Raw genomic sequence first — 26,589 nt, 5'->3', positions numbered from 1 at the left:
ACTATATAGCTGTTAAAGTAACATCGTCTATTCAGTGATATGGAGATTTTTTTTTTGTTAAAAAAGCAGGTGGAAAACCGTATGCACAATATTATGTTGTTTTTGTTTGAAAAAAAAAAATACGTATAGGGGAAAAGCAGCCTGAGGTGGTTTTTGTCGCTAAAATGTGAATAAGGATTGTGGCTAAATTAGGATATGGATGAATTTAGTTTTCATATCTGACTTATCTTTGTAACTTATCTATCAATGAAGTACTTCTATGCAAAATGAAAAAAAGAAGTTTAAAACATGTGGTCAGCTCAAGAAGCTGACCAGGCTCCGTGGGATTATTTCAGCACTATTTATCATGACAGAAGTCCTGGGCTCTCCCAGCCCACATACAAACACTACTGTGTTGCCCCTTCTGGCCATTTCCAGCTCCACCAGCCCCATACAGGTTCTCAAATTTGCGCTAGATCCTCCCTTCTCTTATCCCTGCTTTCCTGCAGCAAACTGCATTCCTCCCTCTCATCACTTACTCAAGCCAGAGAGGTTCCTTAGTCTCTATAGAGAATCCTACCATGCTATTCACTTTTCCCACTAAAAGCAAAAGTCTTGTAAGATAAAATTCCTCTTCTTAAAAAGAAGTCTGGGGCTTAACCCAGAGGCAGACCCTGACCTGTCTCTCTGTGAGAGGCCTGTCCCAGTTAGTCTCCTGGGAAAAAGCATTTTTTTTTAGTGTGCGTTCTTTAGGCATCTTTAGGACCAGCTGGACGATATTTTCATCACTACACAAGCAACGGCACTTTGGGAGACTACAGTAATAATAGCTTACTTTGTACACGTATTTTTAGTTCACAAAGTAAATCCACAGACTCCCTTACAGTGATTCCCAGAGCATATCCAAAATCATTTGGAGATAGAAATAGGGCTGCTAACTTATGTTTTGCCAGGTAGAGCCATTTAAAAAGCTGCCTAGTATCCATGTTTGCCATTACTTCCTAACGGAAAAGACATTTTACCACACACAGAAAATAGGAAGGACAATCTCAAATTTTTTTTTTTTAAAGCACTGTTTAAATAGAACTTCACTATAAGGTCCTCCTTTTCCCCCATGTATTTTAAGATTATTACTATTTCTATATAAACTGGAGAAAACATTTTTACAGATAATCAGTGGTTTGGGAACAGTGCTCCATTGTTTTTGATACTTAGAGTTACCCACTTGCAGGTGAGGAAGCCAAGGTTTAGAGACTATCAGCTGATGGAATGGTTAGAATCAAATTCAAGTCTGTCTGCTCCCAGTGGCTTTTTCTTATTGCAGATTGCCTCTGTCTAACCACCTTGCCAGTGTGATTCTACCCAGAGAAAACCTAACTGAAAAGCAAATGAAAGTCTTGGCTACACTTGGATCACCAGACTACACCCAGTTGGTCAAATTTTATTTTTGATTGAAAAATAACTGAGCTCGTCGGATGGAATTAGCCTTTCAGGAAAGTTCCTCTCTAATTTCATTATTTGCTTTATCAACAAAGCCATTCATATAGGTGGTTTCTAGGGGAGAATTATATATTAGAATGCTAATATATCTACTCGTATGTATCTATCCATATACATCTATTGACTGGTGCCTGAAATTCCCTCATTTTGGTGTCCTTTAGTGATAGGTTTCTAAACATCACTAAAAAGAATAAGGCAAAAAGGTAGACAGCATGTCCTTTCAGTGTAATACTGAAGCATTGTTTAACAAGCTTAGTCAATAATTTTTTTTAACTTTTATATTCGGGGGTACAGGTGCAGGCTTGTTATAAGGGTATATTGCATGATGTTAAGGTTTGGGGTACTAATGATCCCATCACCTAGGTACTGAGCATAGTACCCCATAGTTTTTTTATTTTTATTTTTATTTTTGCAGAGCTAGCTGAGGTTTTATTTTGGGAAAAAAAATGGAATTGTTTTGTAATTGGAGGCATGGGCAAGGCAGGTCCCCCAGGCAGTAAACTTCCCCGCAGGTGGGCTGAGGGCCAGGGCTGAGCCTCAGGTGGGCCTCCTGTTCCCTGTGCTCCCCTGCACAGCGGCCTCCCTCTCAGGCCCTGAGGCAGCAGCAGGAGGGATAGGTTGGGCGGGGCTGCCGTGGCCATTCACTTGGGCAGAACATCAGAGGACTCGGACACCAGCTTCCCATCGCGGGTCTTGATCGTCTTCGCAACCACGGCCCTGATGGAGCCGGTGCGGCTGAAAGAGCTGGAGGCCCGGCCAGAGCCAAAGCTGGAGTCCCAGGCCTTAGCTGAGGTCAAGGCTTGTGACGCTCCGGTAGGCCGAGCTCAGCGCACCTGCATAGCCACTGGTGGTCTTCCTGTGGATACTCATATTCTGCATCCCAGATTCCAGCCGGCTCTCCTAGCCCTCCAGCAGCTTCGTGTAGGTGGCGATCTCGATGTCCAGGACCAGCTTGCCGTTCATCAGCTCCTGGTACTCAGGCAGCTGCCGTGCCATGTGCCATGTCCTGCTTGGCCCGCTGCTGGGCGGCCTCCAGCTCGGACAGCTTAGTCTTGGCGTCCTTAATGGCCAGCTCCCCCCGCTGCTCAGCATCTGCGATGACGGACTCCAGGGAAGCTCTCTGCTCTGGCCTTTGAGGCAGGCCCTCAATCTCAGCCTGGAGCCGGCTGATGTTCCGGTTCATCTCAGAAATCTTCGTCTTTGTAAGACGCCGGTCATCCCAGTGCTTCCCAGCCAGTGTCTGCAGCTCCTCATACTTGATCTGCTACATAATCTCAGCCTCGGGCCGGCTGCAGTTGGCGATTTCCTAGTACTGCGCCTTGACCTCCGCGATGATGCTGTCCATGTCCAGGGAGCGGCTGTTGTCCATGGACAGCACCACAGATGTGTCCAAGATCTGGGACTGCAGCTCTGGGATCTCCTCTTCATACAGCTGCCTGAGGAAGTTGATCTCGTCAGTCAGCCCCTCCAGGCGAAACTCTAGCTCTACCTTGTTCATGTAAGCGTCATCCACATCCTTCTTGATGAGGACAAATTCATTCTCCATCTCTGTAGGCTTATTGATCTCGTCCTCGTACTTTTTCTTGAAGTCCTCCTTCACGAAAAACATGCAGAGCCCCTGCATGTTGCCAAGCTCTGCCTCCAGTTTCAGCTTCTCCTGGCCCAGGATCTCTAGCTGCCCCAGAAGGTTGTTGATGTAGCTCTCGAACATGTTGTCCATGTTGCTCTGAGCCGGCTTCTGCTGCTGCAGGAGGCTCCAGTTGGTCTCCAGCATCTTGTTCTGCTGTTCCAGGAACAGTACCTTGTCAACGAAGGAGGCAGACTTGTTGAGGGTCTTGACCTGCTCTTTCTCCTGGGTGTGCATGCCCTGCATGTTGGGGTCCACTTCCAGGTTAAGGGGGCTCAGCACGTTCTGGTTGACTGTGACGGCTGTGATGCCTCCCATACGCTGGCCCCGCATAGCCTCCACACAGACCCATGCTGGTGCCCAGGACATCTCGGAAGCTGCTGCTGCCCACTGGGGAGAAGCTCAACAAGCTTAGTCAATAATTTTTTTTAACTTTTATATTCAGGGGGTACATGTGCAGGGTTGTTATAAGGGTATATTGCATGATGCTAAGGTTTGGGGTACTAATGATCCCATTAGGAGGCCCGGGGGCCAGAATTGAACACCTTGTAGGACTTCTGGGTCACCCTGATGGACATGGTGGAGGCAGGAGTGGAGGCAGGCAGGCTGAACCAGGCAGAGATTCGAGAAGGAACGGAGAAGCTACTTCTAGGTCCCGTAGTTAGTTTTTCAACCCTTGCCTCACTCCTGGCTTCTCCCCCAATGGTCTCCAGTATCTATTTTTGCCATATTTATGTCCGTGAGCACCCAATGTTTAGCTACCACTTATAAGTGAGAACATGCAGTATTTGGTTTTCTGTTCCTGCGTCAATTCACTTAGGAAAATGACCTCCAGTTTCACCTATGTCAACGCAAGGGACATGATTTTGTCTTTTTTGATGGCAGCATTATATTCCATGGTGTATTTGTATGACATTTTCTTTAATCTGCCATTGATCTGCACCTAGGTAGATTTAATGTCTTTGCTATGGACAAGTGGGACCTAGTTAAAGAAAACTAGGTTTGCTATGGTGAATAGTGCTGCAATGAAGACATGAGTGCATGTGTCTTTTTGGTAGAATGTTTTATTTTCTTTTGGATACATACCCAGTAAATGAGATTGCTGGATCAAATGGTAGTTCTGTTTAAAGTTCTTTGAGAAATCTCCAAACTGCTTTCCACAGTGGTTGAACTAATTTACATTCCCACCAACAGTATATAAGCATTCCCTTTTCTCTGCAGTCGTGCCAACATCTGCTGTTTTTTGACTTTTTAATAATAGCCATTCTGACTGGTATGAGTGGTATCTCATTGTGGTTTTGATTTGCATTTCTCTGATGATTAGTGATATTGAGCATCCTTTCATGTTTTTTGGCTGCTTGTATGTCTTCTTCTGAGAAATGTCTGTTAATATCTTTGCCCACTTTTTAATAGAGTTGTATGGATTTTTTTTTGCTTGTTCAATTGCTTAAGTTATAGATTCTGCATATTAGTCTTCTGTCAGATGCAGAGTTTTCAAATATCTTCTCCCATTCTGTAGGTTGTCTGTTTACTCTGTTGATAGTTTGTTTTGCTGTGCAGAAGCTCTTTAACTAGGTCCCACTTGTTCATCTTTCTTTTTGTTGCAATTGTTTTTGAGGGCTCAGTTATAAATTCTTTCCCAAGGTTGATGTCCAGAATGGTGTTTCCTAGGATGCTTATGGTTTGAAGTGTTAAATGTAAATCTTTAATCTATCTTGAGTTAATTTTTGTATGTGGTGAAAGGTAGGGGTCTAGTTTCTTTCTTCTGCTTATGGCTGGCCAGCTATACCAGCATCATTTATTGAACAGGGAGTCTTTTCCCCATTGCTTGTTTTTGTCAACTTTGTTAAAGATCAGATGGCTGTAGGTGTGTGGCTTTATTTCTGGATTCTCTATTCTGTTCCATTGATCTATGTGTGTGTTTTTGTACCAGTACCATGCTGTTTTGGTTACTGTAGTCTTATAGTATAGTTTGAAGTTGGGTAACTTTGTTCTTTTTGCTTAGGGTTGCTTGGCTATTTGGGCTCCTTTTTGGTTTCATATGAATTTTAGAATAGTTTTTTCTAATTCTGGGAAAAATGATGTTAGTAGTTTGATAGGAATAGCATTGAATCTATAGATTGCATTGGGCAGTTTGGCTATTACAGTGATATTGATCTTAATTTAGCCTTTTCTGGTCATGCTCCTCAAAATTTTTCCAGCCACTGCCTGTTGCCCAGTTTTGAAACCACTTCACATTTTATATTTGTTATAGTAGTACTTCACTTGTGGTGCCAAAATCTGTATTAGTTTTCAATTGCTGCCATAATAAATTACCACCACCTTAGTTTAAACAACACACATTTATTATCTTGCTACTGTAAGGGTTGGGGTAGACGTTTGACACAGGTCTCTCTGATCACCTGCTTAAATCAAAGTATTGGCAGGGCTACATTTCTTTCTGGAGACTTTAGAGAAGCATCTGGTTTCTTGCTTATTCAGACTTTAAGCAGAATTAAATGATTTACAGCTCTACGTCTGAGATCCCTGTTTCTTTGTTGGCTGTCAGCTGAGGACCCTGTCTTCATAGCGCCTTCCTCCATCTCCAAAGGCAGTAACAGTAGGGTGAATCCTTCTCACGCTTCAAATTTTTCCTCCATTTTTTTATATCTCAAATTTCCTAGCTCTTACCACAACAAGGAAATGTTCTCTGCATTGAAGGACTTGTGTGTTTAGATTGGGCCCACGCAGATAATTCCCCCATCTCAAGGTCTGTAATCTTAATCACATCTGCAAAGTTTCTTTTGTCATGTTCCCGGGATTAGGGTATGGACATCTTTGGGAGTGCTTAGTCTGCTTACCATACTGTCAACATCCAGAGTTGAAACCAGGTTGATCTGACTGCTTTTGGACTTTTCCCACCTGATTCTATAATCTCCTGTCATAACTGTGCTTCTGTCTCATACCTAGAGGCCCTGCTCTTCTTATGATCCTGTTCTTGCCACTGTATTTGTGTCAGGTAGCAATGTGTTGGGCTGTAAGTCATAAATAACAGCTAAGAGCTGCTTGAGTTGCTTGAATTATTGAGGTTAATTTTTGTCACATAACAAATCTAGAGGTGATTGCTGGTCTTGGTTCAGGGGTTCAATGATGTCAAAGCATTGGCTTCATAATTTGGTTGGTCTTTCCTTCATGGTTGCAGTATGGCTACCATAACTCTAGCTATCATATCCACATTCAAGACAAGAAGACATGGGGTAAAGAGTGGGCTCCAGTTTTATCTGCCCTTTTAATTAGGAAGTAGATGTTTTCCCAGAAGTCCCCATCATATTTTAACTTGCATCTCGTAGATCAGAACTGTATCAAATGCCCCTATTCCCTGCAGTTACAGGGAAGCCTGAGAAGGAGAGTATTTAGCTTTTCCTGGTGGGGGTGGGCAAAGGAAAAGAAAGTTGGAAATGAGGATTGGATTAGCCAATTCATAGTGTCAGAGTTTCAGCCTATCAGGACTCTATCTTTGCCTTTTTCTCTTGCCAGTCACAATTAGAGTGGAGATTCTGCTCCTGAATCAGCCACCTGATGATTGTACTTGGACCACTTTAACACCCACTTACTCCTTATAAAATCTTCCTGGCCCCAATTAACTACTTGGCCTGCCATCTGACATGGCCTGGATGCACTTTCTGTTGCTTCTAGCTGCTGGCCCCTGGAAGCACCTGACCACCTTTCAGAGCCTAGAGACTCCATCAGTCCCCTGGCTCTGCAGAGGTAAGCTTCTATTCTGACAGGGCCTGTTTTTACATGGGTCATTTATAAGCATTGTGTGTGTGTGTGTGTGTGTGTGTGTGTGTGTGTGTGTGTTTGCATGTACAAAAAAGGGGACAACTGGACCACATTGGCCAAGAACATTTTAATCCTATGCTAGGTTTAAATTTAATAAAGTAGAAGGTCTTCTAAAAATATTACCATGGCAGATAATATCTGTTTTTATCTTCTTCCCCCCAGTAACAGAACTGTGACTTTCTGTGCAGCAACCACGCACCCAGACAAAAGACTTTTTCATTCTCAGATGAAGAAGACTTTATCTTCTTTTACAGCTAGGTACAGCATGTGATTAAGTTCTGGCTAATGTGATATAAATTAAAACATTGTATGGGGTATCCAGAATGTTTCTTTAAAGAGAGAGGGCGTATCGTTCTTTGTCCTTTCATCCGTTTTGCTGCCTGGAGTGCAGATGAAATATCTGGAGCTCCATCAGCTATTTTGGGCTATGAGGAGAAGGACTATACTTTAGGGATGGCCAAGAGCTGACACTGCCTCTGGATTTCCCACCTCCAGAGTAATAAACTTTCTATTTAATCTATTATAATTTTTAATTTTTATCTTATTTTCAACTGAACATGACCCTAAGTAATTCATCTACTTTTCATCTTCATGCTAACTCTTTACATAGCCTTCCCAGGTACATTATTTTCTTTTCAACAGATAGGAAAATATCCGTTTTCCTGTTCATTTTTTTTTTAGCTGGTCCTAGTTCTAGGAGTGTGAGATCAACAGCAGCCATCAGAAAACTGTTGACCTACAGGGCTGGAGACTGTGAAAAAAACAGAAAACATTGGGTTCAGGAAGCAAAAGGTGATTATTTCTAGAGTTAATGACAACTTTGGGGGATATGATTTTTGTGAGGCTAGGCCCTTACTCTCAGAGATACAATTCTTCTTCACCATCTCATTTCCCCATCCTGAAAATGATATTTTGGTCTCTACCAAGAACTTTATATAAATATTTTCTTGTGGAATTTTTTCCCCAAAATAGAGCTTCAGCAATGTTTTCATTCCCAGCTGATGGGCTGTTAGACTCATTGTGGGTATTGCTCAGTGAAAATCCTTTGCTAGTAGGCCTGCTTTATGGTAGAAATTGTAGTGGAGGGATGAAGTAACAGTCCTTGTGCTATAACACTCAGATGCCACCTGCTCCACTTTGTTCCAAAGTAGCAATTGGCCTACAGCCCCCCAGAGTTATTATGTTTCTGCCTTGTTCTCTCTCCTCTTCCCCATATCCTCTAGCACAACCTTCCTCTACCCCGAATTCCATATTGGATTATCTTCAAAACTGGGCTGGCATTTTTGCCAGGTTCTCTTCTCTCCTCCTCCTGGACCTGGCTAATTGTAGCATGACCCAGCCTGACCCAGGTCTTCCTTGAAACTGCCTGTTCTACTCAAGAAGCTCAGCCAGCATAGGATGTCTCTTAAGAAGCTGACATGTTGTTTCCTAGCAGGTGCCTTTAGAGAGGGGATGTCTCAGAGTAAAGGAGGCATACTGCTGGGGTCTAAGCAGAACTCTGTTTTCCAAGGGCAATGATGAGGCATTCATGGTTCTTAGATGATTTAATGACAATAATGGTTTTTCTTATCTATTATTCATGTTGTTACTTGTGAGGTATTTAGGGTGAATTTTATAGGTATGCTTTCCAAGGAGGAGAAAGGAGCAAGAACTAACATTTATCGAGCATGCAGTAGGAGTTAGGTTCATATACACTGGATCATATCACAGTGGTTAAGGGCATAGTTTGGAGTGAGTCAGTGCTCGATTCTACACCACAACTACCACTTCCTGGTTATGTGACTTGGGCAAGTCAGTAAATGTCAGATAGCACCTGCTGCATAGGCTTGCTGGGGGGCTTAAATGTGAAACACTTAGTTCAGGACCTGATCTAGAGTTAGTGCTCAGCAGATGTTATTATTATTGTGCACATTTTACATATACAAAACCTAAGTCTCAGAGAGGTTAAATAACTTACTCAAAATCCCACAGCTGGTTCTGGAATTCCCAGATTAATGTTCATCCAATTACATTTTGCTGCTGAGTGCATACTGCTTGTAGGTAGTGGCCCAGTTACAAAGGTTTCCTGAGATATCTAGTCTAGTATTATCTTCTGATAAATGATCTTTGGGCTAAATACACTTTCCCTGGGGGTTTTGGAGGGGTAGATACAGGAAAACCATAGATAGGAAAATATTCTGCCAGCCCTGATCTCATTGATCTGTGAGGGCCAGCTCAGGGGTAGGCTTCCCAACAACCCTAGAACCTCCAAAAATCCCCAGCTCATCTTCCTGTCCAGTCATTTCTCAGAGCTTTAGGAAGCAGTAAGATGCCCTGTAGCCATCATAGGCCTGGAAACTAGACTTGAGCTCTCTGGTCCCCTGGGAGGCAGCAGAGTACAGTGGCTGCCAGCAGAGGCTTTGCAATCAGGCCCAGAGGGATCCCAAGATCATTGCTCAACAGCTGGAGCACCTTGAACAAGTCACTGCCCTTTCTCTCAGCCTCATTTTCATATCTGTAAGGCAGTGAGGAACATAATCCAAGCATCCACAATTTGTTATAATAATTGAACCAGAATGTAGGTAAACTGTCAGGTGTTCCACAAATAGTAGCTCTTATTAATATTATTTTAATCATGACTAATTGAAGAGGATGTTCTAATGCCCTGGAAAAAGCAAACCATCTGCTTTACCCACCCATCTACCTAGAATGAAAAGCAATTCAATCAACGAGCCTTCTCTTGGGCTGTTAGGACTGAGAGAGTGGTCCAGCTGGGCAGGCTCAGCCTAGAGGCTATTCCCCACTTCCAGTTGCAGATCTGGTCTCTTTCACCCTCGTAAAACGCTGTAGCAGAGCTACCCAGGACAGCCAAGGTCTCTAGGCTTTGGGAAGAGAAGGAGCCCACAATGGCCATGACTGCTTTCTTACCTTACTTAGTCCCACTTCGCAACCCCCAACCCTCCCAGGACTCGCACTTTCTGAGGCATGTAGGCTGGTCTGGGCTCCTGGAGTCTGGCCAGCATGGTGCCTACCTAGATGAGCTGGCTCCCCTGGACACCCCATCCTGCAGTCATGAGACCTCTGTAAGGATTCCTATCAGCCAGGCAGGCCCATGTCCTTTCCAGCCTTCTCCAGGCCCACCTGATTTAAAAAATTGTTTTCTTTGGACAATGTTGAGTTTCTTAGCTTCTCCCACTTTGTACTAATTTTTCTTTTTAGTTGCCTAGAATGATGTAAACTCTGCAGTGTGAGGGTTAAGAATATGAGCTTCAAGGGGAGGTAGCTCTGGTTCCAATGGCCATTTTTTCATACTGCCCACATGTACTTAGTGAGATGGGCACTGTATGGAGCATTGGGCCTCGTAAGCCCTCATAACAACCCCATTAGATGGCTGCTGCCAACATATGAGGACATTCAGGCACGGAGAGGTAAAGTAACTTTCTAAAGGGAGCATATAATGAGGTCATCATAGCATAACAGAAGCAACACAGGGACCCAGGGACCCAGGGGAAGGCAGGAAAAATGAGAGGAAGAAAGCAGATGAGGAATGAGGAGGAATGAGAGGTAAATATTCTTGCCCAGAGCCTGTCTCCTCAGCCCCAGGGATGTGGGGTCCAACTGATTTAGCTACTTCCCTCAGTTTTGCCAGGAGGAGATGTAGGGCAGGGAAAAGGAGGTCAACAAGGATTGAAGGGAAGATTTATGAAGATGCAGAAAGGCCTTTCCAGGGAAAGAAATGTCTGAACAGGCTTGGCAGACAGGATGTGATGGGTGCTTTATTTCCCTGGGGGACCAGGGAGCTTGGGAGGAGGATGCCGCTTTCACTGGTCACTCTCAACCATTTAATTCAGAACCTGTGTTTGGATCCCAAGGGAGCTCAGGCTCCCAAAGTCATGAATATACATAAGCCTAATCCAGCATTAGGGACAATAAGATAATGAAGGTGGCACCCTTAATTCCTTTGGTTGCCAGTTTGTCTTAATTTTTTAATTAATGAACAATTTCAGATGTCAAAGCCTTGAGACACGGAGTAATGCAATCTTTTCTGAGAGTTCTTTATCTCTTCCTATGTGTGATTTCCACCCCACCCCGACACCCCACACCCCCAGTGTTTCAGCAGTTTCCTCTTCTCCATTCCTGAAGAACCTGCATTTCCTTTTCCCAGCTCTGGTTTTGGCTTCCTGTGTGCTAAGCCTTTGCAGTTGTCATCATGTCTTCAGGATGCATTTGATAGGTACAGGAAGTCGCACCAGACGGAAGATGGAACCAACAATCAATAAAAAAAGAACTATGTTTCTAAGAAAAATGCATCATGGCTTCCCACAGGAGTTGTGAACCATATGTCCTAATATCCCTGTAACAATGGGTCTAATTTTTAGCTCTTCTGCTCTGCCCTCCCGGCCATCTCAACAAGAAAGAAAATAGATCTTTTAACCTGCTGCTCCCCGGCTAATGATCTGTAGTAAAGATTGCCTTTCCTTTTAACTCATTCATCAGATACCACAAAATAAAATACGTCCCTCCTCTCCCGCTAGCTTTATTTCTCTCGGCTACTAGTTTAGTATATTTATGGTGTATGAGTCATCAAGCTGCCTCCTGATTGGATAAAAACCAAGCACCTCTGAGACCGTCAGTCAATTACAGCTATTCTCAGCTTCATTCACAGATTTATTAGCTTGCACACACACAGAGAAATTCATTCGGCAAAGTTCATTCATAAAAATTTCAACACGCTGCGTATCATCCTGCACATCTCAGCTTTCGGCTGCAAATGGGCTTCTGAAAAAAGCTCCGAGAGGAATCCAGGAGGGAGGGAAGCTCTGAGCGAGGGTAGGCAGGCTGGGAGGGGATCTGAGGAACACGGACCCATCACAAGTCAGTGAAACAATGCGGAGCAGCGCCCGTCAGTAGTACTCCTGGCTGGTGGCCCAGAACGGGATGCAAGACAAGATCTTCCAAGAGAGGGCAGCCTTTGGAATCAACGAACCCAGGCAAAAGGGCCTTTGGTTCATAGATACATTTTTTTTTCCTTTTTAAATGAACAATCACTGGAACAAATAAAGGGTTAATAGGCCAGTCATTTGCCCCGCCCTGTGAGAGCCGAAGGGAGCAGGTTCGAAAGTTCCTGTGTGCAGAACAGAAGGCTGGGGTGAGGGTGGGAGTCGGGTGCTAAATATTTCTACTAGGCTCCTGCAAGGCTAGTGATGCAGCGGGCCCCCCGACCGGCGCTCGCCCGGGTTCTGCGCCTAAGAGTTGGCCGTGAGCGACCCGCGCCGCCGGGAGCCTGGGTCTAGGCTCTCCCGACAAGGATTCCAAGGCGAGAACACTGGTGCCTCTGCCTGGGCCAGGGAGAGACTGAAATCAGAGCAGGGGAGGCGTTTCCCCCATGGGCTGTCACCCTTAAGGGGCCGGGAGCCGAGGTGGGCGAGCTCGAGAGCAGAGTTGGAGAGGTGGCTGCTGTGAGTTGCATCGGGCGTTGAGGTATCTGATGTCTGCACCGTTTATCTACCAGACGACGAGGCGATTTATGCAACAGTATCCTGTTTCAGCACTGCCAAGGCTATGCGAGAACGCGGCCAGGACAGCCTGGCAGGACTCGTGCTGTATGTAGGACTCTTCGGGCACCCCGGGATGCTGCACAGGGCCAAGTACAGCCGCTTTCGGAACGAGTCGATCACGTCCTTGGACGAAGGTAGCTCCGGAGGCTCGGTCGGGAACAAGGGCTCGCCGCAGCCTCCCCACCCCGCCCTGGCACCTCACCTGCCGACTGAAGATGCCACCTTGCCGTCGCAGGAGAGCCCCACCCCACTGTGCACCTTGATCCCCCGCATGGCAAGCATGAAGCTGGCCAACCCGGCCACTTTGCTGAGTCTGAAAAACTTTTGCCTGGGTACCAAAGAGGTGCCTCGGCTGAAGCTCCAGGAAAGCCGGGACCCAGGTTCCAGCGGCCCCTCTTCCCCAGAAACCAGTTTAAGTAGGTCCGGGACTGCACCTCCACCGCAGCAGGACCTGGTGGGACACAGGGCAACCGCCCTAACCCCTGATTCGTGCCCGCTTCCTGGCCCTGGGGAGCCAACACTTAGGAGCAGGCAGGACAGGCACTTTCTACAGCACCTGTTGGGGATGGGCATGAACTACTGTGTGAGGGTAAGTCCATTTTCCTCTCTGCCCTCTAAGAACTTCCGTGGAAGGGGGCATCTTCTCTGCTTTCTGCAAGGGGTCTAATGTTACCTGCCTGGGTTCTGTGTTTGGACAGGACATGATTCAACTGGACCAAGGCGGAGGGGAGCTGGGTTTATATATGTCCCTACAACTATCTGACTTGTACTGGAGTCAGGCAGCCTTTGGTTCAAGGACATGAACCGGTGCTAACTTGTAGGACATGAACTTGTGGGTACTTGGCAGGTGTAGAGGCAAGTTCTGATAGAGGCAGCTGATGGCACCACTTTGTCCCCGCTGGACCTAGTATTCTGGCCAAAAAGAGTCAAGGACTTCAAATCTGATCAGTGATTGAGACCTGGTAGGTTATACTGGCCATTGTATTTTGGATGAATACAGTAAAGATTTCTGTGCTGTAGAAACACATGGTGTGTAAGGGGCTTGAATTATTCTTTAAAAATTTATTTCAGCATTTAACAAACACTTCTCAAAACACGTCCGAGTCTCTAACCTTGTGCCAGGAGCTAGTCTTAGCTCTCCGGTGCACATTTATTGCCTTTACTGCCTACGCTGCAGCAAGTAGGCCTTGTCCATGAGCTATGGGCAAAATCAAGGTCCTTACTGGCCTTGTATCTGTCCTTGCTCAGTCAAGATGTGGGCAAATGAAGATTTGGCCTGTGCCCTTTTGCAGCTCAGATTTCAATGAGATCAATGAATACATGCGAAATACTAAGATAATAATACTTAGCAATAGATAGCTAATATGAGAATGCTGAGGGAATTCAGAAAAAAGGAAAGATTATGTGATCTGGGATTCATTCACATGGGGAACCCTCAGGAGAAGATGAATCTTGGAAGAAATGTCAGATCTGGGTTGGCAGAAAGGAGGGGATTCCTGGTAGGCCAAGAATAGGAGCAAAGTCACTGTGGTGGCTGCAGGGGAGCATCACACAGGCTGGGCCTTATGGAGGAGGAAGGGGAATGCTGGAGAATAGTGGGTGACTGAGGGAGGGGGTGGCTTGTAGTACTCAAACAAGTATGAGTTGAATAAAGACAAATAGAGATCACGGGTAGCTTGGGAGACCGAAGTTGACTGAAGCTCTTAAATGCCAAATGAGGAGATTGTAAATACTGTGATTGATAAATGAGAATCCTCCTAGGTTTGTAGGGCATGACTTGCTGAAAGTAATTTTTAAAAGACCAGTTGGTTGATTTATTTGACATGGATTGAAGCAGGGAAAAATTAGAGACTTGGAGGACAGTAAGAAAGATACTCTGAGAGTTTAGGTATGAGGCAATGAGAACACTGATTAAGGTGGAGAGGAGAGAAAGGAGGTGAATGGTAAGGCATTCTGTGACAGAAGAATGAGAGAAGCCTCAACAACCCTGGGAGATTAAGCAGATCATTTCAAATCATAATATAACTAATAGAGTAGTGAACATTTATGGAGCAGTGGGTAGATTGATTATTTTGTTACCATTGTTGTTTATTGGGGTTGTGATTGATTATTGATGGAGGGTTGTAAAGGGTGAAAAAAAAACTTTCAAATTGAAGTCTCAGAATGACATCAGTGATGCCAATGACTGAAGCAGAGTAAATTAGGAAATGGACTCATTTTAAGTTTGTTTTTGACATATTAAATTTAATGTAATTATTTGTAAATAATGCTAATATGTAGGTAGACAGTCATATAAAACTAGCACTCAGGCGAGATGTCTGATCTGAAGGTATAGAGAGCTAGCCCAAGAACTGTATTACAGACAATTAGGATCTCAGTATTACAAACAGACAATTAGGATCTCAGGGAAGTTCAAATAATAAACACTGGAAGGGTTACAGAGAGAGCAGGCTTGGGCAGTCCTGGCAAATGGGTAACTAAAACCTCTAAAGCAGATAAATGTATGGGACATGCAGCTCTCGCCCTCACCCACAGTGACATGGCACATAATGGAAATATTTTCATGTTTCTACTCAAAGTTCATGGGCATATTCTCATTTATCAAGATTAGGTGTGTGCCAGGCCCTCATGGGAAAACGAGTGAGTCTCCAAACCTGGGCTCTCTGCACTTGCCTTACCATCACCTACACATCCTCTAGCCTCTGCCTCAGCTTTCCTTTCCTCTTGTACCTCCTGCAACCTCCCCATACCCACACACCTGTACAATTTTAAATGTGAAAAGAGTTGCTGTGTGATCTCCAGTTTCCCTAGGGAGTGCCTCCTCTGGCGTTTTAGATTTTTAATGGGGGCACCATCTGTCTTTTCATGGCAATAATCACTGACTCCAGAAAAAGTGCTGACCCCACGACCCAAATGAACCTCACAAGATTGCCGATATCCGTGATGTCCGATACAAGCTAATGACATCTCTTATGAAGTCAAAATACGTGAAAGAACTTACTTATTAAGTTTTATAGAATCCTAACTTTGAAAGACGGAAGACTCAGAAGTTATCAAGGTCAATTCCTTAATGGTGAAACCAAACCCCAGGTTTTTCAAAGGCCACACAGATGAGTTAAAGCAGAGTGAGATCTAGAGCCCAAATCTCCTGTGTGCCATTCTTATCTGTCTTCACCACAGGTTTCCATCCTGGTTGTTGTTCTGTTCCTCAGAATTCTTTTGAGATGTGAACCAATTTTGAAAAATGAAATGCTAAGCTATTAATTTACAGTAAAAATATCATACCAAATGAACCAAAGTTGTGAGCTCTGTATTCCCATCTGTAGGAAAAAGCACATAAAAAATTTTAAATCAAACCTTGCTTGGTAATAATGGATTCATAGGAGAGAACTGAGAGAAAGATGATCTTAATGGCTAGTTGACACAGGGCTGGTGGATTTAGGGGCAAAGTTTACAGGAAAAAAGCCACTTCATATTCTACCTTCTTATCCATATCATGTGACTGCTCCTCTCCCTGCCCCAACTTATTTGCTAATCCATTCATCCATTTATTTAACAAATATGTATTATGAATCAATTATGCAGCAGGAACTGTTCTAGGCACTGGGCATCCATGAACAAAATGAATCAGTTCTAAGCATCAGTAAACAAAAGAGACCAGGTCTGAATCATTGTGAAATATTTTAGTGAGCGGAGATAGGTTCAATTGAATAAATGAAAAAATATACTATTTCAGATGGCATTAAGTGCTATGGAGAGCAATAAAGTGGGGTAAGTGAAAAAGGCAGTAGCTTGGGTGGGAATGGAAGGCATATTACTCTTGGGTAAAAAGTGGGATTGTTATAGCTACTCTTTACTTTGTTTTCTTGCATATTTTCTCTTTATGATAGGGACTATATTTTTCATCTGCGCTAAGCTAGAGTTGACTTTGGGTTAAATATTCTTTTTAAAAAATGGTTCTTCATTTGGTCTTATGATGTAGAATAAATTATATAGCTGAAAACACTTTATGAATCCTGACCACCTGTTTTGAGTAACTTTAATTGAAGCTCAGACTTTGGACCACCTGAAGGTCTCTCAGGGAAGGGGGCCTAGCAAACCATTCTTTGAAAGATATTGAGCCAGAAATAGGACAGTGAGATCCCAGTCTGGGCAAAGTAGTGAGGTGGGCAAAGCCCATTAAATGGTGTCAAATGTGACTTCATTCTCCCCATAAGACTGAGTCTCCTTTCTTTAGAGGCCTTTCCAAGTCCATTCATCCATCAGCAGACATTCATTTAAAGGTCTCCCAGGTGCCCAACATAGTGGGGAATGTGGAAAATCTACAACGTGACAGTGTTCTCCTCTTTAAAATGAGAGAATTGGCTTGAAAGCCCCCTCGCAGCACCAGTATTTAATGAATGTAGGGTTCCTTTCTCACACGGGAGGTGTTGAAAATGTTAGTTTCCTTTCCAATTCTCAACTTGGCTCAAAGACTTAATAAAGCAGAGGCAAAGAAACCAACCTTGACGAGCTTTGGCAGGTAACTGCAGTGGCCCTCACCACAACCCCCTGAGGAAGGCCGTGTTCTCCAGGTGAGGACACTGAGAGCCCAGGTGTCTGTGATCCACAGGATACTTCACAACTAGTAAGTAGCAGACTGAGGATTCCTAACCAGGTGTGTCTCACTCCAATGTTCCTCCACTTCCCAACCTCTCACTTGCCTCCAAGCAAGACAGGCAGCCTCTGAAGTATGGGAATGGAGTAGCGTAGATGAGAGGCCACACTGTGCAGGATAGCCTCATCATAGGACCAGCCCATGGAACTTGCCTTGTGATATGCATTTGCATGATTTCAGTCTCTTCACTTCAGCCCAGCCCAGCCAACTGTTTCCCAGATCGCATTAGTTTCCTAGGGCTTCTGTAACAAGTCCCACAAACTGCGTGGCTTACTACTATAGAAATCGATTCTCTCACAGTTCTTGAGGCTGGACGTCTGAAATCAAGATATCAGCCAAGTCACGCTGTCTCTAAAAGCTCTAGGGGAGGAATCTTAGAGCTCTTCCTTGTCTCTTCTAGCTTTTGGCAGTTGCCTGCAATTCTTGGTGCTCCTTGGCTTGTAGATGCATCACTCCAATCTCTGCCTCTGTCTTCACATGCATTCTCTCTGTGTGTCCATGGCCAAATTTCCCTCTTTTTTATAAGAACATCAGTCATTGGATTAGGGCTCACTCTCATCTAATATAATCTCATCTTTATTTGATGACATTTGCAAAGACCCTATTTCCAAAGAAGGTCACACTCACAGGTTCTGAGGGTTAAGACTTGGGCATATCTTTTTTGGTGGACATAATTCAACCCAAAACAGTCCCCAAGAGCATTTATTGCAATGTGTTTGCTCACATGGGCCTTCTTGGGTATCAAGCTCATCAGCTTTGTGTGCAAATAGAAATTTGTGTTGAAAGATTTTCTTTACTTCCTTTATAAATCCCACAGTATACTCTTACCATCCGTCTTCTCCTGTCTAAGGTATCTTATCACTGACCCAGTAAACTAGTATTGTCAATCATCTGTTGTCTAGACTAGATGTAGTCCACAGTACCACAATGTTACATCTACCTCAAGTAGCTTTTCCATAGGAGAATACAGGTCTAGGAGTTTGGAGACGTGCATTGAAGTAACGGCTCTGACACTAAGCTGTGTGATCTTGGGTGGGTCACTTCACCTCTGTGGGCCTCATTTTCTCATATTTAAAAGAAGTTTCAGCCAGGCACAGTGGCTCATGCCTGTAACCCCAGCACTTAGGGAGGCTGAGGCACGCATATCACTTGAGGTCAGGAGTTCGAGACCAGCCAGGCCAACATGGTGAAACCTCATCTCTACTAGAAATACACAAATTAGCCGGGCATGTTTGCATGCACCTGTACTCCCAGCTACTTGGGAGGCTGAGGTGGGAGGATTGCTTGAACCTGGGAAGTGGAGATTGTAGTGAGCTGAGATCATGCCACTACACTGCAGCCTGGGCGACAGAGCAAGACTCTGTCTCAAAAAAAAAAAAAAAAAAAAAGAAAGAAAGAAAGAAAGAAAGAAAAAGAAAAAAAGAAGAAGAAGTTTGAACAAAATGCTGCTTAAAATCCTGAGACTCCAGGTCTTCTTTCCTACCTGTTTGAAACCCCTTATTATTAGGATCTCTTTTGGTTAGAAAGAGTTACCTTGAGGAAATAATGTTTATCCACTTTATGTTAGCAGAGAAGAGAAAGAATGTCCTTCAGGGATGCATTCACTTCTATTTTAGCACCCTCTTACTAACACTGAGCTGGCTTCACCAGTAAGGCAGAAAGGAGGGTGTTATACTGGCATGGGTGGAGGCAGTAAGTTTTAGAGAGATGGAGGGTGGTAGAACAGCATCCAAGAGTAGAATTCCAGGGAGGGGTGAAGGGTGGGCTAGTTCGGGGGCAGGCCAGGGTTGGAAGAGGTGAGCGATAGTGGATGGGATTGTGGGAACATGGCATTCCTCATGTGTCTGGCCAGCTAGGTCTGACTGGACTTGGTGTCCAACAGGAGGACTGCAGAAGTGACAGAAATTAAGCCATCTCTATTTTCTCTGGACAAAAGAGCCAAGAGAAAAAGGCCTTGCCACACACATAGCCTGGTAACTCTAACCTTGAAAGAGGGAGATTTGTGACTCCAGGAGACTCCTGGAGAGACAGTCCCATGGTTTACACAATGAAGCCAGACCTGGGTCGCTCAGGTACCCACAGCAAAGAAACATGGCTTTCTGCCTTTGTAAATTTCCTTCTTTTCTAAGTTATTGGTGGTTGAGAGGGAGGTAGTATGGATGGGAGGAAATAATTCCAGCTAAAACTGATGACTTGGCATTGAGGGTATTATATTTTCCTTCCTATTTCTTTCTTGGAGTAGACGTGGAAGTAGATTCTGCTGGAACTTAGAGAAAGCCTGGCAGGTTTGACCCGTTCCCCTGTTCTTCTCTCTAGACCTTCACATATCCCTTGATTGGTCCAGTCCTTTCATGCCCCTGGACACTAGAGCCTTAACTGCAAGAGTCTTAGAGATCAGTGAGTCCACACACTTCATTTTGCAGTTGAGGAAACTAAGGCTCAGACATGTGAAGTGACTTGCCCCCAACCACACATCTACCAGTGGTGGAGCCCAGACAAGAGCTCCCAGTTCTGTGTACAGCACTCTATTTTCTACCTCCACCTTGCTTCATCTTCCCCCACTTCCTGAAATAAATATGCTACACCAAATGCCTCTACATGATTAAAATGCTGCGTGTGCTTTTTAGAAAGATAATTACAAAAACTTCTTTCTAATGGGAAAATTGTCTTAAAATAGCAGTGAGAAGAAAAGAGGGAGCATAGAAGGGTGGCAAGGAGACCAAAGAGCACTGGCTTGGCCAGTTTCAACCTTTTGATTAAGGAGGTCCCTGCGGATGGCAGTGTGTCCATGTTGGGCCAGGACTTGTTACCACATGCATGGACTGGCTCCCATTTCATTCATTGCTGCAACCCTAATGACCTTAGGGTCATTTCCCCAATATGGTTTCCTCTCATTTCCATGTTCATATTACTCTGAAGCCAATACGGTGTTATCATATGGAGGGACCGAACCAAGCCTGGACCCCAATATGACAGTTCCATCACCAGGAGAGTGATCTAAATGATGCACACAGGCTGCCCCACACCCCGCTCCTACCCAGCTTCACTCACTTACATCATCTGTCTGCACCTGAAGGTGGCTAGGTTTGCACACCCACCCGTGGTATTGGAATGTGAAGACATTTCTAGTCCCTTTGTCTTTCATTTTCCCCTTCAGAATATGTGGGAAAGAAGCTTAGAATGTCCTCTTCCTGGGTAAACATACTGGGATGTCTTTCTTTTACGCAAAGGGACAGAGTACTGGGGGCTGCAGGAAACCCAAGAGAGGGATCCTGCCTTCTCAACTCATGGAGCTTTTTCTCATTGTAACAATGTTGCAAAGAGTTTTTAAGGGTGGTAGAACTCTAGGATTAGTACAGGCTGTTCCCATTTCATGAAGAGATTGCGGGTGAAGAGTTAATTTGTACAGCAGTTCTTTGAGACTGAAATTTCTCAGAGAAATAAAACTAAAACTTGATAAGCCTTCTCATACAGTTAGGGACAGGATAAAATAACAAACTGTATGTACAAGGCTTAGCACAGAGCCTGTCTCACAGTAGGTCCCAAGTGGAGGGAAGAGAATGGATTTCAATAGCCTAGGGGGTGCCTCTGGGCCGAAAACTCAGGATAGACTAAACTTGGTTTTGGCATTTCCCCACATTCCTTTGGCATACTTTCTCCCGGCCAGCAGCGCCACCCTGGCAGAACTTTCTTCCCTAAGTCTTGCCTTGTGCTGCTCACCAGGGAGGGCCTGCCTGCCTTCTTCTCTAAAGCTGCCTAATGTTTATCCGCTAGTCCCCTGCTCCTCCAGTGCAGCAAAGCGAAAAGCATCTGCATTTTGGAAAGATGTTTATTTACTTCATTGACTCTTCATTGTAGTGTTTCCCAAAGTTTGCTGAGGACCACCTGTATCAGTTAAAAATGCTTGTTAAAATGCAGATTCCCAGTCTCTAGCTTGGACTTACTGGACCAGAATGTCTGAGGCTGGGGCCCAGAAACCTGCATTTTTGGCAAACTGCTTATGTGATTCTGCGGCAGAGAAGATTTGGGAACCTCTGCTGAGTCCAGTCAGAGCAATGGTTCTCAACGGGGGATTATTTTGCCACTCAAGGGACATTTGGTAATGTCTGGAGACATTTTTAATTGTCTTAGCTGGGAGGGGAGGTGAATGCTACTGGCCTTTAGTGGTTGGAGGGCAGGTTGCAGCTAAACAGCCTGCAAGGCCCAGGGCAGCTCCCACAACACAGAATTGTGAGGTCCAACACATCAGAAGTGCTGAGGCTGAGAAACCTTGAGCCAGTGGGATGAAGTGTATGAACCCGGGATGTAGATTAGGAGGCAATATTAAATGGAAAAATAAACAACTGCTCAGTGATTCCTGTAAATCGAATCTAAGCCACTTCTACATCTTCTCATTTTCTTCTTTCCCCTCTTTTAAATCTACAGATTCTCTAAAAATTATAGTTCACACCACTTTCCACCCAAACAATATTCCTGTGGCTTCCACATCATGATCTCAAGTCATGGGATGAGGGTGAGCCACATGAGCCATATGTTGCTATGAGCTACTCGTACATCAAGGATGTCCACATTAGGACAGATTCTACCTTAACCCAGGAGCACTCGGGCTAAATGACATTGACAGGCTAGCTTACTTTCTTTTTCTGTGGAGGGAAATGGAAATATGAGATTTTATTATAATTTATTTGGAAATATAGGAACATAACATCACATTCTCATTAACATAATAGCTATGATTTGTTGAGCTCTGTGTATGTTGCAGGAAGCTTGCATCAATTACCTCACAATGACCCTGTGGAGTGGGTAGATGGAGAGGAAACTGACACCAAGAGAGGCCCATTGTCTGGCCTTGATGCTTATAAGTAGCAAGCATCAGTATTGAAATGGGAGTCCAACATGTCAACTCCACTACTGTAGTTTGCTTTACACAGTGTTTGTTTTTTTTTAACTTTTATTTTAAGTTCAGGGGTACATGTTACATAGGTAAACTTGTGTCATGGGGGGTTGTTGTACAGATTATTTCATCACTCAGGTATTAAGCCTGGTACCCATTAGTTATTTTTCCTAATCCTCTCCCTCCTCTCATCCTCCACCCTCTGATAGGCCCCAATGTGTGTTGTTCCCCTCTATATGTCCATGCGTTCTCATCATTTAGTTCCCACTTTTAAGTGAGAACATGCAGTATTTGGTTTTCTGTTCATGCATTAGTTTGCTAAGGATAATGGCCTCCAGCTCCATCCATGTCCCTGCAAAGGACATGATCTCATTCGTTTTTATGGCTGCATAGTATTCCATGGTATATATGTACCACATTTTCTTTATCCAGTCTATCACTGATCTTCATTTAGGTTGATTCCATGTCTTTGCTATTGTGAATAGTGCTGCAGTGAACATACATGTGCATGTGTCTTTATAATAGAACGATTTATATTCCTTTGGGTATATACCCAGTAATGGGATTGCTGGGTCAAATGGTATTTCTGTCTTTAGATCTTTGAAGAATTACCACACTATCTTCCACAATGGTTGAACTATTTGCACTCCCACCAACAGTGTATGAGCATTCCCTTTTCTCCACAATCTCACCAGCATCTGTTATTTTTTGACATTTTAATAACCATTCTGACTGGTGTGAGATGGTATGTGGTTTTGATTTGCATTGTTCTAATGATCAGTGATGTTGAGCCTTTTTCATGTGATAGTTGGCCACATGGATGTCTTCTTTCGAGAAGTGTCTGTTCATGTCCTTTGCCCATTTTTCAATGGGTTTTTTTTCTTGTAAATTTGTTTAAGTTCCTTATAGATGGTGAGTACTAGACCTTTGTTGGGTGCATAGTTTGCAAAACTTTTCTCCCATTCTGTAGGTTGTCTGTTTACTCTGTTGATAGTTTCTTTTGCTGTGCAGATAGCTTTGTATCTTAATCATGGTATCCTACTCTTACTAGTAACTTCATTTTCACAGGGAAATGCATTAAGATTTTTAACAACTAATTTACAAGTAAATTTTAAGAGCAGAGCCTGTCTTGGGGTTGAAAACTTCCTCTAGTTAGAGGGGTTGACATTCCAGTTGAAAAACCCATGTGCTTTAGGGACAACCCCAGAAATTGGATTTTTACCCTTAATATCATCAGCAAATAATTTATTATATATGAATCATTTATTGGGAAGTGGTAAAATGCATAATTCAAACTTAATCTTTTTTAACCTAATGCCAATCCTGGCTCCTTGAAAGGCCATTGTGCCTCCCACATCCCTCTCAGCTTGGTTCCTTTAACCCTGGACTCAGAACTCATCTGATAGGTTAGACTACAAAGTTCTGTTTCATGGTGAGTTAAGCTCTCCAAGGTCACAGGGCTCATCGGCAGCAGCGCAAAGACTAAATTTCACATCTCCTTACTCCCAGGCCAGTGGTCTTTCCACTACATTATGTGAATGAGACATAATTCTTGCATGAGGAGGTGTGGTAGGAAAGTAAAGCAAAGATGTCCACACACATTACTGTAATAAATGTTAGGTTATAATAAATGAAACCAAAGTGATACCAATGAAGGATTATGGGAGTTCAGAGAAGAAAGGGCACACCTTCCATTTGAGATAATTAGAGAAAGTTTCTTGGAGGAAGAGGTATCTTACCTGAGTTTTAAGAAATAGGTAGAGTTTCCATAGGCTGAGATGGAGAGAGAACATCCTAGGCAAAGTGAAGGCATGGAGGTGGGAAAGTGGAGGATGTATTTGGGGAGCAGTAAGTGATTTGACTTGGTTAAACAGTGCAAGAGGCATATGTAGGAAATCAGAAGGAAAATAAGATGGACTGATACAACAAGGTTGTATAGTACCTGAAAAGCTGGGTTTTCACCAGAAAGCCACTGGATTTTTTTTTAAATGGGGGAATGACAAATGCAGAGATATGCTTTAGGAAGATTACATGGGCTGCAATGCTCAGAGAGGATGCAAGAGGAGGGAGCCTGGAGAAAGGCAACCAGAAGAAACAGAGTGGTAACAAAGGCAGTGGCACTGGGAAGAGAGGGGAAAGATGGGACACCTAAGGGAGGAAGAAGCCACCAGCTTCTCACCCCTTTGGAAATGGGTCACAGGCAGGAAAGTGAGGGGGTAGGAAGGATGTGGCTGGGGATGAGTCCCATTGTACACCTGCTGTGTTCAAGGTGACCCCGAAAGCATCCAGGTGGAAATCTCCAGCAAAAAATAGAATAGTTAGGACTGGGGAGAAATTATTTTTGTTGTTATTGTCATCAAGGCCCGTGGAATGGACAAGGCTGCCACAAGGAGAGGGTAGAGCAGGATTTAGGATTTAGGTGTTCTATGGAAAGGGGAGGAAGGGAATGGGCAGTATGAGGAGCAGGATGAAGAGAGGACAGGTCACCTAGGGAGAGGGTGGAGAGAGTTTCCAGGAGAGAGAGGTTGGTCAAAACCATGTCAAAATCCGTGGAGTGTTCAAGGAAGATGAGAACTGAGAAAGAACCGCAGGGCTTGGTCTTTTGTCTTCCTACTCCTACCCTCCTCCAGGATATTAACGCCAACCATCGCGACCCAAGCACACCAGTGGATATCCCACACCTCCACTGTCACCTCCGCCCACTCAGTGAATGGTGCCTCCCTGTTGTCCAAGTCAGAAGTCTGGGGGCATTCTAGACCACTCACTCTGTCTTGCTGCACGCAGCCTCCTCTTATCACAAACTGTCAATTCCACCTTTATGACATTTCTCACACACTCCCATTTCCCTCCATCCCCACTGCAGTTTCTAAGGTGGGCTCTAGTATGCACCATTTTAAAACTTATTAGATCATCTTCTCATGGAGCTAATATTCTGTGAAACACAGGTTGGGAAACTCTGCTACTATAGCTTTCATTTGAAACTAGGAGATCAATAATCATAATACAAGGTAGAAAATGATATATGCCTATAGACACAGTCATATACATCAGTGTGATAAAGTAGATATGTCTTCTATCTGGTGGAGATGTCTTCTAGCTGAGTAATCAAGGAAAGCTTCCTAAGGAGATGGCCTCTGAGATGGTCCCTAATGATCGGTTAGAAGTTTAACCATAGGGAATATATATATATGTAATTTTATATATTATCTAAAATATATATGAAATTTAATAATATATAAATTTTATATATAATAATATAAATACAATTATATAATATAAAATTATAAATATAATTATATAATATAAAATAATATATACAATTATATAATATAAAATAAACACATATTATTATATAATTATGTATTTACTATATTATAAAAATATATTTTATATGTTTATTGTATGTTAATAAATATATTTATTGTATTATATTTATATTATTTATTAATAATAAATATTTTAATAATATTAATATATTATTTTATATATTATTTCATATTTCATATGTTAAAATTATATATAATATATAATCTGCATATTAATATATTATATAAATTATATGTATAATTTATAACTTGTATACATACATTATAAAATTATTAATATACTAATTATAATATATAAATATTACATAATTTATATATATATTAATTTGTAATTATATATAATTATAAAATTATATTACTTTACATATATATAATTTTTTTAAGGTATTGTAGATGAGGGAATATAGATAAGGAATTATAGGTTATCCGCAAGGGAGGGCACCGATTTTAGTTGGGCCAGAGTAAAAGCTGCTGGAAAAGAATGGTGGGTAATAATGCTGAGATTCGATCCAGATTATAACAAGTCTTAAGCATCAGCCTAAGAAGTTTAGGTGTCTGAGCAGAGGCATGAGGATTTGCGCTGCCAAACAAAGTGCCTTGAGGTGGGGAAGCCCATTAAGAGGAGATTACAGCAATAGTCAAGGTGAGAAGTGTTTGTATCAAGGTCTTGATACAGGCAATGATGTAAAGAGATAGAGAGATCGTGGAAGAATAATTTGATGAAGAGGGTAGAATTCAGTCCAGCCTCCCTAAGGTTTTTTTTTTTTTTTTTGAGACGGAGTCTCACTCTGTCGCCCAGGCTGGAGTGCAGTGGCATGATCTAGGCTCACTGCAAGCTCTGCATCCTGGATTAATGCCAGTCTCCTGCCTCAGCCTCCCAAGTAGCTGGGACTACAGGCGCCCACCACCATGCCCAGCTAATTTTTTGTATTTTTAGTAGAGACGGAGTTTCACCGTGTTAGCCAGGATGGTCTCGATCTCCTGACCTCATGATCCACCCGCCTCAGCCTCCCAAAGTGCTGGGATTACAGGCGTGAGCCACCGCGCCTGGCCAGCCTGCCTAAGGTTTTGAGGTAAGTGGCCTAGGATGGGATGGGAGAGATGCCAGTGGAAGACACAGGACTACAGAAGGACAAGCAGTGTTGAGAGGGAACGGATGAGGTTCCATTCCCAACATGTTGAGTTTGAGGTGGCAGAGTCATCTAGATGAGAGGGAGGTGTGTGATTTTTCTTTTTTGAGACAAGGT

The 26,589-nt window shown here is 43.4% G+C and overlaps 1 protein-coding gene and 1 pseudogene across 1 annotated transcript in view, besides 2 other annotated features; one reads left to right on the top strand and one right to left on the bottom strand.

The window, feature by feature from the left end:
- Positions 1-1,920: 1,920 nt before the first annotated feature.
- Positions 1,921-3,760, bottom strand: KRT8P24 (keratin 8 pseudogene 24; annotated as a pseudogene).
- SHC4 (SHC adaptor protein 4) overlaps positions 11,566-26,589 on the top strand; it is a 140,179-nt gene continuing 125,155 nt past the window's right edge. The window contains exon 1 of the mRNA NM_203349.4: positions 11,566-13,054. Coding sequence (NP_976224.3) covers positions 12,470-13,054 — 585 coding nt within the window. The 5' untranslated portion in view covers positions 11,566-12,469. The remainder of the gene's footprint in view (positions 13,055-26,589) is intronic.
- Positions 12,088-12,589: an enhancer, noted in NCBI's record as "H3K4me1 hESC enhancer chr15:49255093-49255594 (GRCh37/hg19 assembly coordinates)". NCBI's record gives its function as "activates a minimal SCP1, AML or CMV promoter by ChIP-STARR-seq in naive H9 embryonic stem cells {active_cell/tissue: H9 hESC(naive)}" and the evidence as "EXISTENCE:reporter gene assay evidence [ECO:0000049][PMID:30033119]".
- Positions 12,590-13,092: an enhancer, noted in NCBI's record as "H3K4me1 hESC enhancer chr15:49254590-49255092 (GRCh37/hg19 assembly coordinates)". NCBI's record gives its function as "activates a minimal SCP1, AML or CMV promoter by ChIP-STARR-seq in naive H9 embryonic stem cells {active_cell/tissue: H9 hESC(naive)}" and the evidence as "EXISTENCE:reporter gene assay evidence [ECO:0000049][PMID:30033119]".

Source organism: Homo sapiens, chromosome 15, assembly GCF_000001405.40.
Source record: "Homo sapiens chromosome 15, GRCh38.p14 Primary Assembly".
NCBI classification, from domain to species: domain Eukaryota; kingdom Metazoa; phylum Chordata; class Mammalia; order Primates; family Hominidae; genus Homo; species Homo sapiens.
The sequence above is the reverse complement of the archived record's forward strand: the minus strand, read 5'-3'. Positions and strand labels throughout refer to the sequence as shown.